Below are 22,167 nucleotides of genomic sequence, written 5' to 3'. Positions count from 1 at the left end.
GATGTGTAAAAGAATGCCTGGACGTCAGGCACCTCAGACCGTTTGCCTATTTTACGACAAGAATTATTTAGATTTTGCAGGATGGAAAAATTCAAAGTGCCATTTTCTGGCTATTTGGAACTACTGTCGAGTTTGTATTGGGGTCAAACGGCATTGCAGAAGAAAATAAGTCATTTAGGTTTTAGGTCAGGTGTGAGTTGAAGAGGTTTTAAGTTTTTGAGAACACAGGCTAAGGGAGGAGAAGGAGGAATGGAGGGTGGAAGCTTACCCATAGTGAAGGAGGCAAGCCCAGAGAAAAGAGACACGGAGAAGGGTTGGGGGGTTCTTGCCCTCCAGAAAAGCAGAGAAGGGGTTGGGGCACGGAAATAAGGGATGGGGGCACAGAGATAAGAGGTCAGGGTGCGGAAATAAGGGATTGGGGCACAGAGATAAGAGGTTGGGGTGTGGAAATAAGCAACTGGGGGCTTCTTGCCCCCTAGGAAAGCGGGACTTGCCACTAAGGGTGAAGGAGAAGGGATTGAGGGGTACTTGCCCCTGCTCCAGGAAAGCGGGACTTGCCACTAAGGGTGAAGGAGAAGGGGTTGAGGGATACTTGCCCCTGCCCCAGGAAAGCGGGACTTGCCGCTAAGGGTGAAGGACCAAGGCAGGCGTCCCTGCGTGGTCTGACACCCTTGAAACGTGAGTGTATAATCAGAGAGGTGTCCCTGCAATGATTAAACACCAAGGGGAAGGCTGCCTTCCCAGCCCGTGACCGGCGCTGGAGTTTTGGGTTCATGGATAAAACATGTCTCTTTTGTCTCTACCAGAAAATGAAAGGAATTGAAATTAAGAGAAGGGAGAGATTGAAGTGTGGCGCCAAGATTGAAAGGAGAAAGAGGTTGAGGGATAGTGAGGGAGATTGGAGAAGAGAGTAAAAAGAGGCCACTTACCGGATTCGAAATTGGTGAGATGTTTCTTGGGCCGGTCGGTCTGAGGACCTGAGGTCGTAGGTGGATGTTTCTCACGGAGCAAAGAGCAGGAGGACAGGGGATTGATCTCCCAAGGGAGGTCCCCCGATCCGAGTCATGGCACCAAACTTCATGCGCGTCCGTGTGAAGAGACCACCAAACAGGCTTTGTGTGAGCAACATGGCTGTTTATTTCACCTGGGTGCAGGCAGGCTGAGTCCGAAAAGAGTCAGCAAACGGAGATAAGGGTGGGGCCGTTTTATAGGATTTGGGTAGGTAAAGGAAAATTACAGTCAAAGGGGGTTTGTTCTCTGGCGGGTAGGAGTGGGGATCGCAAGGTGCTCAGTGGGGGTGCTTTTTGAGCCAGGATGAGCCAGGAAAAGGACTTTCACAAGGTAGTGTCATCAGTTAAGGCAAGGACCGGCCATTTACACTTCTTTTGTGGTGGAATGTCATCAGTTAAGGTGGGGCAAGGCATATTCACTTCTTTTGTGATTCTTCAGTTACTTCAGGCCATCTGGGCGTATACATGCAAGTCACAGGGGATGCGATGGCTTGGCTTGGGCTCAGAGGCCTGACAGACTCCACCCCTGCAGCAATCTTCCTGGACATTCAAGGATTTCCACACATCCTCTGAAATCTAGGCAGAGGCTTCCAAGCTTCAACTCTCACACTCTGTGTACTTGCAGGCTTAACACCACATGGAAGCTGCCAAGGCTTATGGCTGGCACCCTCTGCCTGAGCTATACCTTGGCCCCTTTTAGCCATGGCTGGAGCTGGGGCAGCCAGGATTCAGGGCACCATGTCCCCAGGCTGCACAGAGTGGCCGGACCTTGGTCCTGGCCCACAAAACTATTCTTTCCTTGTGGGCCTCCAGGCCTGGGATGGGAGGGGCTGCTGCAAAGACCTCTGAAATGCCTTTGAGGCATTTTCCCTATTATGTTGGCTATCAACATTTGGCTCCTCTTTACATATGCAAATTTCTGCAGCTGGCTTGAATTCCTCCACAGAAAATGGGTTTTTCTTTTCTACCACATAGCTGGGCTACAAATTTTCCAAACTTTTACACTCTGCTTCCAGTTTCAGATCATCTGTTTGCTCCTGCATAACAAAAGTGACTTTGGCTCTGGTTCTCAATAAATTCCTCATCTCCATCTGAGACCTCTTCAGCCTGGATTTCGTTGTCCATAGCACTGTCAGTATTTTGGGCACAACAATTTAACAAGTCTCTAGGAAGTTCCAAACTTTCCCTCATCTTCCTGTCTTCTTCTGAGCCCTCTAAACTGTTCTAATCTCTGCTTGTTAAACCAAGTTCCAATGTTGTTTCCACATTTGCAGATATCTCATAGCAATGCCCCACTCCTAAGTACCAATTTTCTATATTAGTCTGTTCTCGCTTTGCTACAAAGAACCACCCGAAACTGGGTTATTTATAAAGCAAAGAGGTTTAATTGGCTCACAGTTCCACAGGCTGTACAGGAAACATGGCTGGTGAGGCCTCAGGAAACTTACAATTATGGCGGAAGGCAAAGAGGAAAGAGGCTTATCTTAGATGGCGAGAGAAGGAGGAAGAGAGAGAGAGCAGGGAGGTGCCACACACTTTTCAACAACTAGATCTCATGAGAACTCACTCACTAATATGAGAACAGCAAGGGGAAAGTCTGCCCCCATGATCCAATCACCTCCCACCTGACCCCTCCTCCAACATTGGGGATTACCATTTGATGTGGGATTTGGGTGGGGACAGACATTCAAACCATATTAGTTGGTATGTAAGCAGCCCAGGATTGGTAGGATGGCTTCATGTCATTGGTGATGGGGACCCATTCTGCATTATTGCTTCCTCTCTGTAGGGAGTTGCCTTTATCTACATAGTCCGAAATAACTCATCATTTTTGCCTAAGATGCCAGTGGGCAGGGGAAGAAAGCCCTTTCCTTTTAATGGGGCAACTTAGAAGAAGCTCACCACTTCCAACTACTTCCCACTTGTCAGAACTTTGCTGCATGACAACGCCATGTTGCAAAGGAGGCTGGGAAATATAGCCTTTATTTGGAGAAACTATTTGTTCAGCTGAAATTGAGAGAGAAGGGACAACAGTTACTAGGAGATAGCTAGCAATCTCTGGCACATAAGACTTTACCAGACAGTGAGAAACTGCACCTCCGATTTATGCAACTGACAGTCTAAACTAGGTTTAAATCTTGGCTTTGCTTCTTGCAAACTGGGCTTTCCTTTGGCACATTTTCTTGTCTGTGAAAAAGAGACCATAAATGGGGAGTAATGCTTATAAGGTGTCTGTTGGAGCATCTGGTACATAGTAGGTGGTCAACAATGAAGTGTCCCTTTTTTCTTCTCCTTTCTAGAAAATATGAAACTCTGGAGAGTCTATCAGGAAGGCTGTGTTGTATAGCCACTGAGGGCTTAGAGCCCACATTTGCTCATGGGAATTTCATCTTCTGGCCGGACATACACACTGAGAGGCAGCAGCTGGATAGCTTAAGATAAATGATTTTGAAAGATTCTCTGAGCATACAGAGCTCACAGAGATTAAAGGTAAAAGCCACAAGGCAGCAGGATGTACAATACAACCAAAGCCTGGCAATCAAGTTAGACACATATGTTATCTTCCATCATACCTGGGTAGAATCAGAAACCGCTAGAGTTGATTAGCCGAGGCCCAATCAGGCATTTATCCTGATAGAAAAGACACACCCACCCAGAAGATTAAAAATAAATAAATGGAGCCCTGAGACTTTTTAAATCATGAAAATGGAATTAAAGGCTATTTGTCACTTTCCTGTCATTTTGTATCACAAAGAGACTTGCAGTCTCTGTGAGCAAGGGTATTTCTCCCTCCCATGCACCCAGCACTCCCCGCACCACCATCAGGGACCCTGTGCCATTGCTGGAAGGTAAGGTCCAGGTTTTCAATGGCTGACTCCTTAGGCTCTGTTTTTGGGAGGGATCTGGGGAATCCTTGAGTCATGGGCTTTGTACCTATTGTTGTTAGACAAATATCTAAACAGGGCTTTTCAGCTTTAGAAGGTGCTTGTGTGTGCTTTCTTCTAGAAATCCCCCCTTCTTCTGACTTGTCCAAGACATACAATGCCAGGGTCACTCTCCCTTCCTCTTCCCCTCCCAGATAGGTTTATATAAAAGCATGTGTATGTGTAAGAGAGAGAGTGTTTGAGTGTGTGTGTGTGTTGTATGTGTTTGTGCTTCCTTTGGAGTTCAAATGCAGCAAACTACTGATGGGTTTCCTGGACAGAATTACTTGATATTTGAGCTTTTTAATCTTAGCCCTTGACAAATATTGGCCATCAGGTGTTTCATATTTGTTGGTTTTTGGTTTTTTGTTTTTTTTTTGAGATGGGGTCTCACTCTGTCACCCAGGCTGGAGTGCAGTGGCACGATCTCGGCTCACTGCAACCTCTGTCTCCCAGGTTCAAGTGATTCTCCTGCCTCAGCCTCCTGAGTAGCTGGGACTATAGGTGCGCACCACCACACATAGCTAATTTTTATATTTTTAGTAGAGACAGGGTTTCACTGTGTTGGCCAGGCTGGTCTTGAACTCCTGACCTCAGGCAATGCGCCCGCCTCGGCCTCCCAAGGTGCTTGGATTACAGGCGTGAACCACTGTGCCAGCCTAGATGTTTCATATTTGAATATGGAATTGAGACTTGCCCTGGAAATCATCTTTATTCTACAGAAAGCTTAAAGTCATCCCTGATTTTTTAGACAACCTTGAGATTGTAAATTTGTTGGTATGCTATTTCAAAGTCAAAAATGTACCGGAAAGAACAGTGTTTTATTCAAATTCCAGGTCCTCTACTTCCTGGCTTTTTTTTTTTTTAATACTTTAAGTTTTAGGGTACATGTGCACATTGTGCAGGTTAGTTACATATGTATACATGTGCCATGCTGGTGTGCTGCACCCACTAACTCGTCATCTAGCATTAGGTATGTCTCCCGATGCTATCCCTCCCCCCTCCCCCCACCCCACCACAGTCCCCACAGTGTGATGTTCCCCTTCCTGTGTCCATGTGATCTCATTGTTCAATTCCCACCTATGAGTGAGAATATGCGGTGTTTGGTTTTTTTGTTCTTGCGATAGTTTACTGAGAATGATGGTTTCCAATTTCATCCATGTCCCTACAAAGGACATGAACTCATCATTTTTTATGGCTGCATAGTATTCCATGGTGTATATGTGCCACTTCCTGGCTTTTTGAACTTGGAAAAAATTACATGACTTCTCCATGTTGCAGTTCCTTATTTGAACCTTACCACCAGAAAGTAAGTTCATTAAAGCAGATTAATTTTTCCCTTTGGATAACTGATGTTATGTAAGTTAGAGCAGTACTTAGTCCATAGTAGGTATTCAGTAAATAACTATCAAATGAATCAATTACATGGGAATAATAATTCTGTCTCATGGGATGACTATGAAGATTAAGTAAGACAATATATGCAAAACATCTGGCCCTGAGCCTGGCTCTTGGTACTTGTTTAATGGTGGCTGTCATTATTATTTGGGAGTCTCTACATTTGCATAGTGCTATGCCGATTAAAAATATACCTTAAATATAGTTTTATATCTCATTTTCCAGAAAATATGATTACTTATTATCATTGGGAAGAGATCAGCAGAATCTCCTCTCGTTTTCTATCTGTAACCACTGTATGTGGAAACATTCCATCAGCATCCCACCAAAATTGCTCTTGTCAAGGTGATCAGTACTCCCATGTTGCTAAGCCAGTGGCATATTCTCAGTGGGTCCTCATCTCACATGACCTATCTACACCATCAACACTGCTGGTCATCCCTCTGGAGAAGCTTTCTTCACCTGGGGTCCGCATCTTCTTACGTTGTCTCTTACATCCTTGGTTGCTTCCTCTTGTTCTCCTTTACTTGCTCCGGCTCTTCTTCCCAAACTCTTAAGTTGACTGCCCAGGTCCTAGTCCCTGGGTTTATATCTGTGTCTTCTTCCTGCATTAGTCAGGGCCCCAGTAGGAAATACCTGGGTAATTTGAGGAGAGTATGATAATGGGGCATTTTATAAATGTGAGTACAATTGAAACACACTAACAATAGATAATGCAGTATCTGGAGCTAGAAACAGTGGAGAGCCTGAAGGGGCTAGAAGAAGAGTGGCTACTTTAACTGAAAAAGGGTAACAGAAATTGTGAGCTGGCTGGTGGGAGCTATAGCTTTTGATACAGGGACAGAGTCAGCATAAGGCAGCTCAGCCAGGAGGGTCTGGGTCTTTGATCTCTTGCTCATGCTCCCATTGGCTGAACCCGAATAGAAGGCAGAAATCTCACTGACAGAGTCCAAATAAGCCAGGATAGAGAAGGATAGGAGGATGGAACATGGCAACAGGGAGGCAAAGGGAGGATAGTCAGCACACCCGTAATGATCTTACTCAGTTCCAAGGCTTTCAGTGCCATCATATGCTAAAGACTGTGGACTCATCTCTCTGCTTATGGACATCTCAACTTGGATCCCTAATGGATATCTCCAAGTCAGCGTATGTAAAGCCAAACTCTTATCTGGACCCTCTTCAAACCTGCAACACCCACATCTTTCCTGATCTCAGTCCATGTCAAATCCATTCTTTCAATTGCTCTGGCTAATGTCATCCTCAATCCATCTTTTCCCCTCATGTCCCGTAGCATGAAATTTTGCTTCACTGTCTCCACTTTCAGTGTACATCTAGGTTCTAAATAATTTCATGGTTTTCAAAAATTGTTATTCAGGTTTTTATTTATTTACATATTTTTAGAGACAGGGTCTTGCATTGTCACCCAGGCTGGAGCGCAGTGGTGCAATCATAGCTTATTACAGCCTTGAACTCCTGGGTTCAAGGAATCCTCCTACTTCGGCCTCCTGAATAGCTAGGACTATAGGCGTGTGCTACTCCTGGCTAATTTTTAAATTTTTTGTAGAGATGGGGGTCTCACTATGTTGCCTAGGCTGGTCTTGAACTCCTGGCTTCCAGTGATCCTCCCGCGTCAACTTCCCAAAGTGCTGTGGTTTCAGGCATGAGCCACCGTGCCTGGCTGTTATTTATGTTTTTAATGGTGCATTATTCAGTAAAAAGACTTTGAACATGCCTACTTGTGCAGAGCATTAGGCTAGGGGCTGATGAGGCAATGGTGAACAAGCCACACAAGGTCTCTCCCTTAGTGGAGCTTACAGTCCAGTGGGGAAGCATGTCATGATCACATGTCTAAGATACTTTCTAGCCACACTTCATATCAGTAGACATGACTTCAATTTTGAAGTTTTGGAACGTAATCCATTGAGTTGAGCGCTAGCCGTACGCTGCCTGTGTGGCGATTTGGTGGATAAGTATATTACACAGAGCAGTTTAGAGAAAGGCCAGCATCATTATTGGCTTACAACTCTTTGCCCCTGTTTTTCTTTCAACGCTTTTCTGTCCTCAACACTTTCTAGACATCCTATATCCCATGACTCATCTCTCCTGCCGTTTGCTTGTTGCCATTCTGAATTCCTTCATTCTCCTGTTCTTATGACTCTATTCCACTAAACACTTGCGGTGTTTCATTTTAGTTTTACTCTCACTGCTTAGTACCCATCCTTCTATGTGTCCCCAGTGGGACTTTGTATGGCAGACACATCTGACAGCAATAACTCAAGCATACCCTGAGAATAATCCTATGGTCTAAGAAGAATGTGAGTTCAGAGTTTGGAGCTAAGGAACCCAGCAGGGGCCAGCCTGGAGATTCACTCCTTATCTATGAAGGACATCCGAACCCCTGGCCCATTCCTTGGAATGCAGGTCATACAGGGGATTGAGGCCCTTTATTGTGGGTTAAAGGGAGGCTGCTAGGTGTGGGTTGGTAGGTGGAGTTTGCTAAGTGAAAATACTATAGAAACTGCATGCTTTTTACAAACAGTAGTGGTTTTTCTGTCTGCTCACTGCTCCTGGACTGCCATGTATGTAAGTCCTCAAAACACCCTGGGTCTCCTTTGTTGGCCCTGGGTCTCTTCTTTGACCTCTGGGACATCGTGCCATCCCTGCTGGAGTCAGTAGGGGTCTGGCACAACAGACCTCACCTTCTGACTATGATGAAATATCATGTAACAGACTGATGCTTCCTCTGAGAGAAACTAGAAAAGCTGGAGAAAGTAAAATATAAAATTAAAGGCATACGTGAATGATGGAGGCTGCCTATATTTGAAGGGTAAGATCATAGGCGGCAGAAATGTTCTTTGAGGTTAGACCAGGTTCTGCATGCTGCTTACCTTGGGGGACATTTGCTGGCCCCTGAGCAGGGGTGAAGCCAGCTGAGGTTTCCTCAACCTCAAGGGGTTTGGGAGACAGAAATTGGAATTTGGGGTCAGTAAGGACTTAAAGCTAGGACTTGATGGGTGAAGATTTCAGAGAGAAAGGAAGTGTGAAGGAGTAGCCTTGCTTAATATCAGTTTTCCCTCAATATATGTTACTTAAGCTGTTCGTGAGGAGAGCCACAAAGCCAAGTGCAAAGCAGCTGCAGTGGAGCAGGGTTTCTGGTAGACTCACGGTGCTAGGGAAGCAAAATATTAAAGTGTGGGATCTACCCAAGAGGAGAGGCCCTGGGAAGCACTCCAGGCATTAAGTCAGAACTTCTGCAGTGCTGTGCTTCAGGAGAAGGTATGAACCAGGAATGGATCAAGGTATTCAAATATCGCATTGAGCCTCGGCTTGCTCACAGCCCAGTTGCATTTAGGTGATCTCCTTCTTTGCCAGCTTCCAGAGGACAGAGCAAATCCTCTTTTGAACCAGTAATGAAGGGAGAGAGATATCATCCAGAACCTCTGTAACTTTTCAAAGATGATGTCCAGTATCCAACAAAAATTACCGGGGATACTAATAAACAAGACCAAGGGAAAAAATAAAATAGACAAACTAAAAACACTCACAGGTTTCTCTGATGTTGGAGTTATCAGACATAGACTTCAAATTGAGTGACTGATATTCAAAAAAGCATATGACAAGATGGAGAATGTCAAAAGTATATGACAAGGTGGAGAATTTGAGTACATTCCAGTTCCTAGTAGTCAGTGCTGAGCTGTGGACATGGGTCTGTTCCGCAGGGTGGGGTTTGTTAAAGTTGTCAAGTATAAGGCCTACTGTAAGAGATACCAAGTGACTTTTAGAAGACAGTGTGAGGGTAAAACTGATTACTATGCTTGGAAACACTTAGTGGTACAGGATAAAAATAAGTCTAACACACACAAATACAGAATGATTATTTGTGTGATAAATACAGATACCATTTGTGAGATGGCTTATGCCCATATAGAATGGGACATGATAGTCTGTGCAGCTTATGCACACGAACTTCCAAAATACGGTGTAAAGGTTGGCCTGACAAATGATGCTGCAGCATGTTGTACTGGCCTGCTGCTGGCATGCAGGCTTCTCAGTAGGTTTGGCATGGACAAGATCTATAAAGGCCAAGTGGAGGTAACCAGAGATGAATACAACGTGGGAAGCACTGATGGTCAGCCAGGTGCCTTTACCTGCTGTTTGGATGCAGGCCTTGCCAGAACCACCACTGACAATAAAGTTTTTGGGGCTCTGAGAGTGCTGTGGATGGAGGTTTCTCTATCCCTCACAGTGCCTAACGATTCCCTGGTTATGGTTCTGAAATCAAGGAGCTTAATGCTGAAATGCATCAGAAGCACATCATGGGTCAGAATGTTGCAGATTCTGCAACGTGCATTACCTAATGGAAGATGCTTGCAAGGCAAGAACCTTTATTGTAGTTTCCATGGGAAGGAATGGATGAGGCAAGGTAAGCAAGCTTAGGATCGACTAGTTAGAATAATTTCAGCAGGCCCTGGGATGTAGGGGCTTTCCTGAATTGTCTGACACCTGGTCCTGGGATGATTAGGCAAGGGAATATTGGCCTCGAGTGTAAGAGCCTGATAGAAGAGGTGGGAGAGGAGTGGGCTCTGGATTGGTTGGTTTGTGTATGAAAGGGCACTCATAGTACCATCTCTGGGAATTGACTAGCCCTAGGAATCCAGTTTCTCCAGGGTGGGTAAGGCCCTCATGGGTCAAAACATTAGCTAAAAAGACATGCTTCATATAAGCAATAGCTGAGGCTCATACATCCATGCATTTCTGCTTCTATCACTTTAGCAGCATACTTAGTAGGAGTTAGTTGTGTTTGGACCAAAATCTGTTAATGACAGTTATACTTAACAATAAAATTATGATTTAGGGAAATGTTATATGAATTAGTGAAGTTGTTATTTCTTTGAAAACTAAATAGGAAAGTCTTGATGAGAAAAACTACTTTTAAGTATATGTGGGTTAGGTGCAACTGGAAAAAAAAAAAGAAAAAAGTCCTGAAGATTCCACAGCAGTGTGGAACTCTCTTATTAATTCTACTTACAGATATCTCTTGAGTTTTCCTTTTTGGACAATGCGACAACTGGCAGTTTTTTGTTTTTTTTTTTTTTCTTGTTTCCAATCTTTGTAGGTTTTCTTTCTTTTTCTTACTATGCTGGCAGGATCTCCAATACAATGTTGGCTAGAGGTGCTGGTCACAGGTTTCCTTGCCCTGTTTTTTATTTCAGAAAGAATACTTTCAGTGATTGCCATTAGAAATAGCATTTGCTGTAGGATTTTAATAGATAATTTAAAAAATCAGGTTAAGGAATTTCCTTTATATTTCTAGTTTGCTAAGAGTTTTTAATCATTTATAGGTATTCCCACTTATTTTATACCTGCCACTTTGAGGGATGCTCTTCTCGTACCACTGAGAAATTGTCTACTTTCTAGTGCCTTATAGTCAAATTCACAATTCCTCATTTGTTTTCAATGAGGGAGGCTTGCTTCCTGGCTCATCTTTTGTGTACCATAAAGTATGTCAATATGCAGAAGCAAATCAAATTTATTTATTTATTTATTTTTGAGACGGAGTTTTGCTCTTGTTGCCCAAGCTGGAGTGCAATGGTGCAATCACGGCTCACTGCAACCTCCGTCTCCCAGGTTCATTGACTCTCCTGCCTCAGCCTCCCGAGTAGCTGGGATTACAGGCTTGCGCCACCATGCGCAGCTAATTATTTGTATTTTTAGTAGAAATGGGGTTTCACCATGTTTGCCAAGTCTCAAACTCCTGACCTCAGGTGATCTGCCTGCCTCGGCCTCCCAAAATGCTGGGATTCCAGGCGTGAGCCACCATTCTCGTCCCACAAATCAAATTTCTAAACATTGGCATTGTGTCACCCCACACTGTGTGACCCTTAATGTCAATACTGTCTGATATGGTTTGGCTGTGTCCCCACCCAAATCTCAACTTGAATTGTATCTCACATAAGTCCCACGTGTTGTGGGAGGGACCCAGGGGGAGGTAATTGAATCATGGGAGCCAGTGTTTCCCATGCTATTCTCGAGATAGTGAGTAAGTCTCACAAGATCTGATGGGTTTATCAGGGGTTTCTGCTTTTGCTCCTTCTCTCATTCTCTCTTGCTGCTGCCACGTAAGAAGTATCTTTCACCCTCCGCCATGATTGTGAGAGTTTCCCTAGCCATGTGGAACTGTAAGTCCAATTAAACCTCTTTTTGTTCCCAGTTTCAGTATGTCTTTATCAGCAGCGTCAAAATGAACTAATACACTGTCTTACATATGAGTTGCCAGAAACGAGACACTTCATGCTGTATAAAATGCATAAAAATGCAAAATATACATTGCATATTCGGAGTCAGCTGACTTAATGGAGCTTTATGGCGAGTGAGACTCCATGTCCTTCGGATCTATTTCTCTTTTATTGTATGTGAGAATTTTACTTGCATCACCAATTTCAATAACCCTGAGATCTCAGCACAGCAGTGGAATAACAATGACAGTGGCAACAGCCCAAAGAGAGAGATTGTTTTTTGAAAGTCAACGAAAATTCAACTCTAATCTATATATTTTCTATAATCTATGTTTTCCTGAAATGGAAAAGCCTGTCTCTCCCCATGGCTGGGGGAAGCATAAAAGCTCAGTGACTCAAGGAAAGGTTTCAGACTGCTCTTGATCAGCCTCTTTATTTTCTTGTCATTCTATCCCCCACACTGTTCCCTAGTCCTCATCCTGACATCTGTTTTTTTAATCACTGTCATTGAAAACAAGTGTGGTGCTGTCTGAAATCCACAAAAAGCAACCTCCGGGGAAGAAAATATAAATCATAGGTGTGTAAATCATCAGCCCTGAGAGTTGGCATACTGTTGACTTGCCTAAGAGTCTGCATTTTCATTTAGTGGGGAAAATCAGCTTTGATGCACATGATTGGTGGGGGTGGTGGGGAACATATGAAACACAATGACTCAGAACTGGCAAAAGTCTGCGTGTGGAGAGAGGGAGATTGGTGGATTCATTCTGGCATCTAATCAGTCCCTGAGAACTGTGAGGAAATTGAAAGGGGCCAGCTTATCAGCATATTGACATGCAATGAAAGCCCCTTAAATGCTTCCCAATCCCTATGCAGAAGAAGCGGAGAAGGAAAACCACTGTCATTGGAAAAAATTATTTGGCAGAACATTCTCTTTAACGAGCAGATTCATTCATTTTCTGGGAAACATACTAGCGTTTTGCCTCTATCACACTAAAAGAACTGGCTGGTGCAATCAGTTCCACAGAACACCCATCAATTCAGTTAAACAACCAGTGGGGTGGAAAACCCCCAGAAATCAATAGTAGTTGTTTCACTGAATTGATGGGTTACTGCGAGTCGTTCAGATCCATCGGTTGACTTGTGTGTTCAGTTGCTGCCTTGTCTGTGGTGTTGCGTGGGACCTTCAGGCCAGAGACAGACCCTGCTGGAAGGCCTACAAAGTGCAAGGTGACAGACAGAGAGGTACAGGCTCCCCATGGCCAGTGGGTGTCACTTCTGCTGGGAAGATCCTTGCTGCAATGTGCAGCCATCATTGCTACTGGCAGCTCACCTCTAGTGAGGGTGATGGTGAATAGTTTTAACAAGCCACCACTGGCTGAGTGCCTTTGATGAGGGAGGTGCTTTTAAAATATTATTACTTACATTTTAACAAACCAGCAAAGTAGAAATTATCCCTCCCTGCTCTTTTCTTGCTTGAGGATTGAAGAGAAGCAGGGAGAGGCATAGCCAGGAACCTGCCTCTGTTCATTGTCAAAGCCAGAGTTCTGTTCAGGATGTCATCCACCCCTCATCCATGCATAGCATAGTGGCTGAGAACTGTAGGTTCTGGAATCTGACAAAGATGGTTCAAATCCTGGCATCTCTACTTATTGTGGGATGTTTGGCAATTTACTTAACTGGTTTCAGTTTCAATTTTCCCATCTGCAAAATGGGAATAATATCTAGTCATTGAAGGAATGAATACAAGAATGTACACAAAGTCCACTGTGTAAGGCCTGGGAATAATGTGGCAAAGCCTGGTTTTTTGTTGTTGTTTGTTTGTTTTTTAAAAACGTTATTTTTGGTACTGTCACTAAGGGTGGTGACTTGAGCTTGTCCTAAACTCACTTTAAGGCTGCACGCCTTCCTCTTTCCTCTTTCCTTGCTCTTGCCACTTACAAATCCTCTGAGAGATTTTAAATCTTTTGTGAGAGCCAGAACACAGGTGTCAATATTTAATTGTCAAGTTCTGAATTTTAGTGAATATTTATTACTTCACAATACACGAGGCTTCTGTTGACCCTGCTTTATTTATCTAACATTAAAAAAACACCAGTTGGTTGCCTCTTCATGCTGGCATGGTCTGCTCCTGTACAAGCGTGTGTAGGGGTGCAGTAAGGAACAAAGGGGGTTTCAACAAAGGCTCGCTGGCCACAAATAGCTCACTCACCTGCATGGCAGAAGAAGGCAAGAAGTGCCTACAAAAACACTGGCAGTACAAATCCAGCCATGTCTACAAAGTTCACGAGCAGGCAAAATGAACCTAAGGCAATAGAAGTCAGTCCATTGGCCACCTCTTTGGTGTGGGAATTTTATTTCATTTTATTTTATTTTATTTTATTTTATCTTTTGAGATGGAGTCTCGCTCTGTCGCCCAGGCTGGAGTGCAGTGGCACAATCTCAGCTCACTGCAACCTCCACCTCCTGGGTTCAGGTGATTCTTCTGCCTCAGCTGCCAGAGTAGCTGGGACTACACGTGCACACCACTGCGCTCAGCTAATTTTTGTATTTTTAGTAGGGATGGGGTTTCACCATGTTGACCAGGCTGGTCTCGAACTCCTGACCTCAAACGATCCGTCCGCCTCGGCCTCCCAAAGTGCTGGGATTACAGGCGGCAGCCACCGCTCCTGGCCAGTGTGGGAATTGATGGGGAAAGGGCAGAGGGAGCCTCTGGGGTGCTGGAAGTGTTCTAGGCCTGGATCTGGACATCTGCACATATAACACTGGAGCTGTGCATTTACAATTTGTGCCCTTTATGTATGCTCTACTTCAATTAAGGAGAACTGAAATTTTAAATAACTATAGAAAAAGCACCACTAGTGCTGTTGCTCAGCAGGATGTGAAGATATGTAATACGAGAAGCTGTACTCAGCCACCTATGGCACTGGGTAACAATTGCGTGGATTATTCCCTTGCAACAGAGTGAACTGGCCTGAATGAGAGCTGGCCTAGGCAGACAATTACAGTGTGGAAAATGGGGACACACCCCATCACCAGATGCCCATGAGAGCTGAACAATATTCAGATTCCTTATCTCTCCTTAACAATAGTAACTACCCTGATCAAGTACCTATTCAGTTCTAAGTGCTTTGTAGATACCGATTTTTTCCACTAGTCTTTACAATAATCTTATATGGTAGGTGTCTTTTGTTCCATTTTATCACTGAATCAATAGTTTAAAGAGACCTTATAACAAGTAAGGGGTGAAGCAAGATTTTAACCTTGGTCTGTGTGGCCTTTTGATCAGTACCATAGGCTCTGAAGACAGATTTCCTGGGTTTGAGTTCCAGCTCCTCATTTCCTTTCTGTGTAAATGTGGGTAAGTTCCTTGACCTCTCTGTGCCTTAATTTTCTCATCTTCAGGAAAGGGCGTAGTGGCAGCTATGTATCACAGAGTTATTTGAGTTAATCTGTGTAAAACACTTAGAACACAGTATGCACTTGGCACATAGTAAGAGCTATACATGTGTTACCGATTACTCTGTTGAATGACACAGGCTTTCAAATGGAAGGGCCAAATCCCATTATTTTCTGGGATATAAAGTAGAAATATAGGCCTAGCCAAACTGTTTGCTCCCTACCTCCCTCCTATGGGTTAACATAGCCCCGAATCCTAGGCACGTGGCAGGCCCATGGGACTGCTTTCCTTCTTCCCCAAGAGAACCCCTGGGTTACAGGCCGGGGGTGGGGTCAAGGTCCCCTGTCACTCCAGATCTCTCCTGCCACCCGTATCCTCAAGGTGGCCTAAGAGAAAATGTTGTTCCAGGCTTGTTGGCAGTTCCTACCTACACTGATGTCAGGCACAGGGGAGTCTGGAAGCTGTTGAAATGAGGACTTTTCCAGCTTGTGCCATCAGGTTTTCTGCCTGGATCTCCAACCCCATTCCCATCTGGATTCTGGTAATTTTCCCCTCCCTGACCACGTGGTGACAGTTGTCCTTGTGTGAACAAGACCCCGCCTCTGAGGTCACCTGTGATGCCTGACCAGAGTCTCTTCCCCAGAAGTCAAGACTTGGAAGTAAGAAATGGTAACATCAGTTGAGATTGTCTTTGAATGGAAGAGATATAAATAGAAGAATGCGGTAGCCGTTTTCCATCTTGTCCACTTGGAAATATACTGAGAAAGGAAGTGTGCAGCGAGTGTGAGAGGTAAAGCAGAGCCTCAGATAAGAGTGGGGACCAGGAGCAGAGATTGAGAGAGGTGGGTCACTCTGAGGCCTGAGCCACTGTGGGATCACCCAGCATCCTCATCTGCAAATTACCCCTCCTGCTTAAACTGGCTGTAGTGGGTTTCCAGCGCTCATACTTGAAGAGTTCACACAAATACACCTGGACTGAGTAATTCAAGGAACAAAATTCATTGCATGAAGCAATTTTCTTGGAAGCCTTTCTTGAATCCCCTAAATTGGGTTAGGAGCTCCTCTCAAACACAGCTGCTTCCCTTTCCCCATGGACTTACTTGTATCTTAGCCCTAGTTATACTCTTCTTAAAAATATGTCTGTATTAAAAAAGTTATCTTTAAAACCCACAAGGAGTTTCCAAAATGTAGTTTTTTTGAGTTGCAATCTTTAAATGTTTAGGTCTTATTCATGTAGCTCCTGCATTATTTATTTATTTTAATAACAACATAATAGGCTTTAATATTTAGCTTATATTTATTCATTTTACATGAACTCCTTTTTAAATTGAGCATCATCCAGGAGATAGTTAAGAATTGAGGGTTTGAGGTATTAGATATATATTTCTAAACATACGTTAAACTGAATATGTACCTATTAAAAAGAAAAGATAAAACGTTCTACCTAAGATCATCTCACGTACCACTTTGGAAACTCCTGTCCTACCTTACCGGCCCCTTAAAAGCAGGACAGTGACTCATGCACAGCCTGCTTTCTACCCTTGGGCTCAGGGCCCAACATTTCCCCTTTATAGAACTTTTCACAAGAAACCGTCGAATGTGCAATTAGTTTACTTGTCTGACTTGCATGGAAGACCCTTCCATGCATTGTTTACTGCTTTATCCTCAGTGTCTTCAACGAGGTCTGGCACGTAGCTGAGGTTTAATACATATGCATTGGAAGAAATAATGCATGCATTGATAAATGAAAACCAGTTCCAGAATGTTCTACAGCCATGAATGTCAATACATGCTGCTTCTGACTGGTGGGGACACTTGAGGGTGAGCACTCTTGCTCAGTCTCTTACTTTTCTCGCTTGCTCCACTCTGGTGGTGACACTATCAGGTCAAACATGGAAAGTCTTTAGTCCTTAGTTCCATTGGCTGAAGCAGAACAGTCCTCCGACACTGTGATTCATACGCACCCTAACTGGGCATGTGCAGAGCCAGCTGTATAATTGTATAATTTAAACAGCCCAGTTCAAAATGAAAATGTGTGTTCAAAAAGCAGGAGTCCCTATGACTCAGCAATTCCACTTCCAAACATACCCAACAGAATCGAAAGCAGGGACTCAAAGAGATAGTTGCATACCGTGTTCATGGCAGCATTACTTACAATAGCCAAAAGGTGGAACTTAAATGTCCATCTACAGATGAATGGATAAACAAAATGTGACATAGACACACAATGGAATATTATTCAGCTTAAAAAAGGAAGGAAATTCTGACACATGCTACTCACGAAGAACCCCAAGGACATTATGCTGAGTGAAATAAGCCAGTCACAAAAACACAAAAGCTGTATGATTCACTTGTGTGACGTACCGGAGTTGTCAAATTCATAGAGATAGGAAGTAGAATGGTGGTTGTCAGGGGCTGGGGGTAGGGGAAAATGGGGAGTAATGGGTATCACATTTTAGTTTTGCAAGAAGAAAACAGTTTTGAAGATGGGTTGGGTCAGGCATGGTGGCTCAATCCTGTAATCTCAGCACTCTGGGAGGCCGAGGCGGTAGATTGCTTGAGCCCAGGAGTCTGAGACCCGCCTGGACAACATGGCGAAATCCTTTCTCTACTAAACATACAAAACTTAGCTAGGAATGCACCTGTAGTCCCAGCTATTTGGGAGGCTGAGGTGGGAGAATCACTTGAGCTCAGGAGACGGAGGTTGCAGTGAGCTGAGAGATTGCATCACTGCATTCCAGCCTGGGCGACAAAGCGAGATCCTGTCTCCAAAAAAAAAAAAAAAAAAAAAAAAAAGAAAAAAAACAGAAAGCAAGAAAATGGGTTGATAACAACGTGAATGTATTTAACACAACTGAGCAGTACACTTAAAATGGTTAAGAGAGTAATTTTATGTTACATAATTTTTACTACAATTTTTTTTAAAGTAGGAGAAAAGCTTTCTCTCTCACAGTCTCTATCTCTGTCTCTCTCTCTCTCTCTGTCATGTTTTTTTATTTGGTATTGAGTGTCACACTCCCTTGGGCACAAGCATAGGCATTGGGTGAGTGCAGACACTTATAGGTGCCCAGGACCTCATCTTGATGCCCTGGGCATGCAGGGGGTGCATGCCTGGCTCCCACACTCTGAGGAGGGCAGGAAAAGGGGGCAGTGGTTGCTCAGCAGGACCCTATGGAGGGAGCAGGAAAAAGGGGCAGTGGTCACTTGGCAGGACAGGGGAGGGGGTGTTGAAGAACCCTTGCTAGGGAGGCGGCAGGTGCAATGGCAGGAGCTGAGGCTCCAAGTCTTTGGCACATAACTTGACTTACAAAACATTAATTCAAAGATACAATCATTAAGAGTTTTAAGATTGCCACTGCAGAGCACTAAACCTCAATCCCTTCTGTGTGTGGGGCTGGGCAAGTGCACTGTATACAGTCCCCAAGAAGCCAGCCCTGGTTGTGCTGCAGAAACATAACAAAACATCAACCCCGCAGCAGGTGTCCCCAGGGTGCCCGCGAACATGACGCAGCTCTGCATGTATGGGATCCACAGCCAGCAGACATGTGGCTCGAGCATAGCAAAGAGGCTGGAGGGATTGAGTCACTAAGCCAGTGAGCCTTAAAGGGTTATCTGTGGATTTCCCAGGACTAGGGCTTAGGTTTGCCAGAGCCACCCTGACCTCTTTTTACTGATGGTAGAAGTAAATTGAGGCTCAGTGATTTGAAGATTTAGCTGTTAGAGTAAATTATTTTGGGATTGAGGTCATCAAGCAGGAGAAAAACTTTGCACTATCAGAATGCTAGAGCTGAAGTTGTGTTTTCTAAAAAAGAAATGGGTTAGGCTGAGGCAGGAGGATCATTTGAGACCAGAAGTTTGACACCAGCCTGGGCAACAGAGCAAGAACCCCATCTCTAAAAAATATTTAAACATTAGCCAGGTATGGTGGCATGCACCTGTAGTTCCAGCTATTCAGAGAAACTGAGCTGAGAGGATCACTAGAGCCCAGGAGGTCAGGGCTGCAGTGAGCCAGGTTCGTGCCACTGCACTTCAGCCCTGGCAACAGAGTGAGACCCCATCTCTTAAAAAATAAATAAATGGAAGAACTGGGTGATGTTTGTAACCAAGTGTTTATAAAATAAAGCCTGCTAAATGTTTCCACAGGAGACGTACAGCCTGATGGTGTATGTGATGTCTATGTAGATGCTGAGAAACGACACAGAGCTGGAGTGCACCGTTCTAAGCATGGTCACATAGCAGTAGGAATGTTCTGAGGGACCTCCATGCTATCAGGGTTACATATGTAAACAATTTCTGGAACCTGTTTCTTTCTTTCCACACTGTGGTGAGTATGAGAATATTGTTATTTGGGGCAGTGATTCTTAAACTGTCATGCACCTATGAATCCCCTGGGATCTTGTTAGAATGAAGATTCTCTCCTGGTAGGGCTGGGCTGGGCCAGAGATTCTGCATTTCTAACAAGCTCCCACGTGACTCCTGGACCATACTTTGAGGATCAAGGGTCTAGACCAGCCTGGACAATAAAAAACTGCTTCCTTCTTCAGCATTCATGTCTAAATAAAAGGCCCTGGGACCATGTAAGTCCAGAATAGTACAGACCCCTTCTATCAGGCTTCTAGGTTAAGCTGAAATGTCTCCTCTGCTCCAGGAAGCCTTCCTTGGCTCCCCCAGGCAAAGGGGAGCACCATCAGCTCAGTGCTCCCTCAGGGCTTGGTACATGCATGTTTAGTGCATAGCATGTTGCTTTACCTGCATGTGCAGAATTTTCTCTCCCTACTGGACTATGTGTCTCTGGAATGCCGGGCATATTTGCATTGGCAGGGTCAGTGCCTGGTCATAGAAGGTGCTTATATTGATTTCCTATTACTGCTGGAACAAATCATCACCAACTTAGTGGCTTAAAGCAATATGAAGTTCTCTAGGTTAGATGTCCAACACAGGTCTCACTGGGCTAAAAATCAAGGTGTCCGCAGGGTTCAGTTCCTTCTAGAGGCTCTAGGGAAGAATCTGAGTTTTTGTTTGTTTGTTTGTTTGTTTTTTCTTTTTTTTTTCCTTTTCCAGCTTTTGGGGCTACCTGCATTTCTTGGCTTCTGGCCCCTTCCTCTGTCTTGAAAGTCAGCAATGGTGTGCTGAGTCTCTCTCACATTTCATTTTTCTGCCCTCTCCTGCCACCCTCTTCCATTTTTAAGAAAGATAATCTGGAAAATCCCCCCATCTTAACCTGATTAGCAGCCTTAATTCCCTTTACCATGTGGTGTAACATATTCGCATATGTAACATTACCATGTGGTGTGACATATTCACAGGTTGCAGGGATTCATGTGTGGACGTCTTTAGGGGCTGTTATTCTGTCTACTACAATGTTTGACTAGTGTCTATAGAGTGAATTTGTGCCTGTGATTGGCCTTATGCACACAGCTCAGGCCAGGGGGGTTCTGAAGAGTTGAAGATTCTACAGCTCTGTACTTGCTGTGGCCAATTTTTTTGGTAGCATTTCTGGTATTTTTCATTTAGCTGGGATTATTTCTGACTTCTGGCATCTCAGAAGACATTGGTAGCCTTTTGATTCTAGTCATCCATACACAGGCAAGATCTGCATAGAACCAAGGAATTCAGTTTACCTCAGCAAGTGCTAATGCAGCTCTAGTTTTAGTTTTCATTCTGGGATGGAACAACATAGCCCCAGTTGTTGAGGGTCTCTCTGCGAGTATCTTTCTGGTGGCACAAGCAGTGACCCCTAGGCAAATTGATGGGCTCATCTGGATTAGTCCACTGCATTTTTTAGGATGGCCAAAGCTGCTTTCTGGAAAGAAAGAGGTTCTGTTATACAGCCAGTCTTCTTGAAAAATGTTTGTAGAACTGCTGAAAGTATATATAATTTACGCAGAATTTATGCCAAATTTGGGCTGAATATATATGTTTTGGTTGTGACCAGGACGGAGGAGTGTGTTAACAGAAGCAACTTTCTTAAAGCCTCCCTTCCCGTGTGATTGAAGTTCTAATATTACTTCCTAAGGGACTACATTGAACCTGTTCCAAGTATATAATAAGAATAAAGCCCAGTATTGATTCCCCCAGTCGCCCCAGTAGGATACGCTGGTGGCTGTAAATTTGAAAATTGTGACATACAATGACCAAGTGCTCAAAGATGTTTGTTTTCACTGTGACCAAGTGACCAAGGGCTGCCTGTTAAAAAATATCCCCAATTCTGGAGAAATGTGGGGGTCCCACAAACGACACCACAGTAAATGAAAATGTCAGCAGTAAAAGCTGATCATGTGTTTTTGTCTACATAATTTTGTCCATAATTCTTGTGCAATTCTGTTATGGCACTTCAAAAGGGAAGCTTCTTTAAAACTGGTTTTATATCTACGGAAAATTCTAACTTCTAAATACAAAGGTCTGAGTTTATTCGTCAAATATTTCATTTATCCATGCAAAGTTCTAAGATGATGTAAATAATGTGTATCTTCTACTGTTTTCTGGGAAGAGTGCTATTTCTTGGGCTAAGATATAGACTCTTGAAGACAGGGTTAGTGTTAGTATCTTTTTGTTCTTGCTGTTTCTGGCACCATCTCAACTCTGCCTAAAAACGTCAGAGAAAGCCTTCCTACAGAGGAAGGGACAAGAGAGGTGCTTATTATTGATGATGAAGAGAAATATTCATGCTAAATGACTTCAAAGATATAACTGTTTCCCGAACTGAGCAAAATGAGTTTGCACTGGAAAAACATAATTGCCTTTGGCTCATAGTGGCTTCACTATGCGTCTACCTTGTGCTACCTCTCTTGTGTGTCTGGGGGCTGGAGTGGATCAATGAGAACCAGGCTACCATTGATCAAGCAGAATGGTGATAATGACCAGACCAAAGGATATTTTTTTCAGCTTGAATGTCCAGGGTCAATGCTTCTGGCTGTCTCAAAGGGAAGAAGCAGTTACAGCATTGTTCAAAATGGCTCTTTAGAGAAATCATTTCTAGCTCACTCCATTTGCATCTGTATTTCAGATTTGCTAGGTTTCCTTTGCAAACATTTTCACTTATTACCCTTTATCACCTTTGCTAATTAAGGAAGATACAGAAACCAGATTTTTAGGGTTTTTTTTTTTTTTTTTTCAATTTCAGCCTTTGGCCACTTCCTATAAAAGATTTCCCTCTGCTTTGAATAAAATTTCTAAGCAGCCTTCAGAGCCAAATTAAATGA

The 22,167-nt window shown here is 43.8% G+C and overlaps 1 protein-coding gene and 1 pseudogene across 2 annotated transcripts in view, besides 3 other annotated features; both read left to right on the top strand.

Moving 5' to 3' along the window:
• C13orf42 (chromosome 13 open reading frame 42) overlaps window positions 1-22,167 on the top strand; it is a 90,270-nt gene that overhangs the window by 997 nt on the left and 67,106 nt on the right. The gene's annotated exons all lie outside the window — the stretch shown is intronic.
• Window positions 328-1,247: an enhancer, noted in NCBI's record as "OCT4-NANOG-H3K27ac-H3K4me1 hESC enhancer chr13:51744281-51745200 (GRCh37/hg19 assembly coordinates)". NCBI's record gives its function as "activates a minimal SCP1, AML or CMV promoter by ChIP-STARR-seq in naive H9 embryonic stem cells {active_cell/tissue: H9 hESC(naive)}" and the evidence as "EXISTENCE:reporter gene assay evidence [ECO:0000049][PMID:30033119]".
• Window positions 1,248-2,167: an enhancer, noted in NCBI's record as "OCT4-NANOG-H3K27ac-H3K4me1 hESC enhancer chr13:51743361-51744280 (GRCh37/hg19 assembly coordinates)". NCBI's record gives its function as "activates a minimal SCP1, AML or CMV promoter by ChIP-STARR-seq in naive and primed H9 embryonic stem cells {active_cell/tissue: H9 hESC(naive and primed)}" and the evidence as "EXISTENCE:reporter gene assay evidence [ECO:0000049][PMID:30033119]".
• Window positions 2,168-3,087: an enhancer, noted in NCBI's record as "OCT4-NANOG-H3K27ac hESC enhancer chr13:51742441-51743360 (GRCh37/hg19 assembly coordinates)". NCBI's record gives its function as "activates a minimal SCP1, AML or CMV promoter by ChIP-STARR-seq in naive H9 embryonic stem cells {active_cell/tissue: H9 hESC(naive)}" and the evidence as "EXISTENCE:reporter gene assay evidence [ECO:0000049][PMID:30033119]".
• Window positions 9,040-9,697, top strand: RPL5P31 (ribosomal protein L5 pseudogene 31; annotated as a pseudogene).

This window comes from Homo sapiens, chromosome 13 (genome assembly GCF_000001405.40).
Source record: "Homo sapiens chromosome 13, GRCh38.p14 Primary Assembly".
Classification (NCBI taxonomy): Eukaryota; Metazoa; Chordata; class Mammalia; order Primates; family Hominidae; genus Homo; species Homo sapiens.
This window is presented reverse-complemented; position numbering and strand designations above follow the sequence as displayed.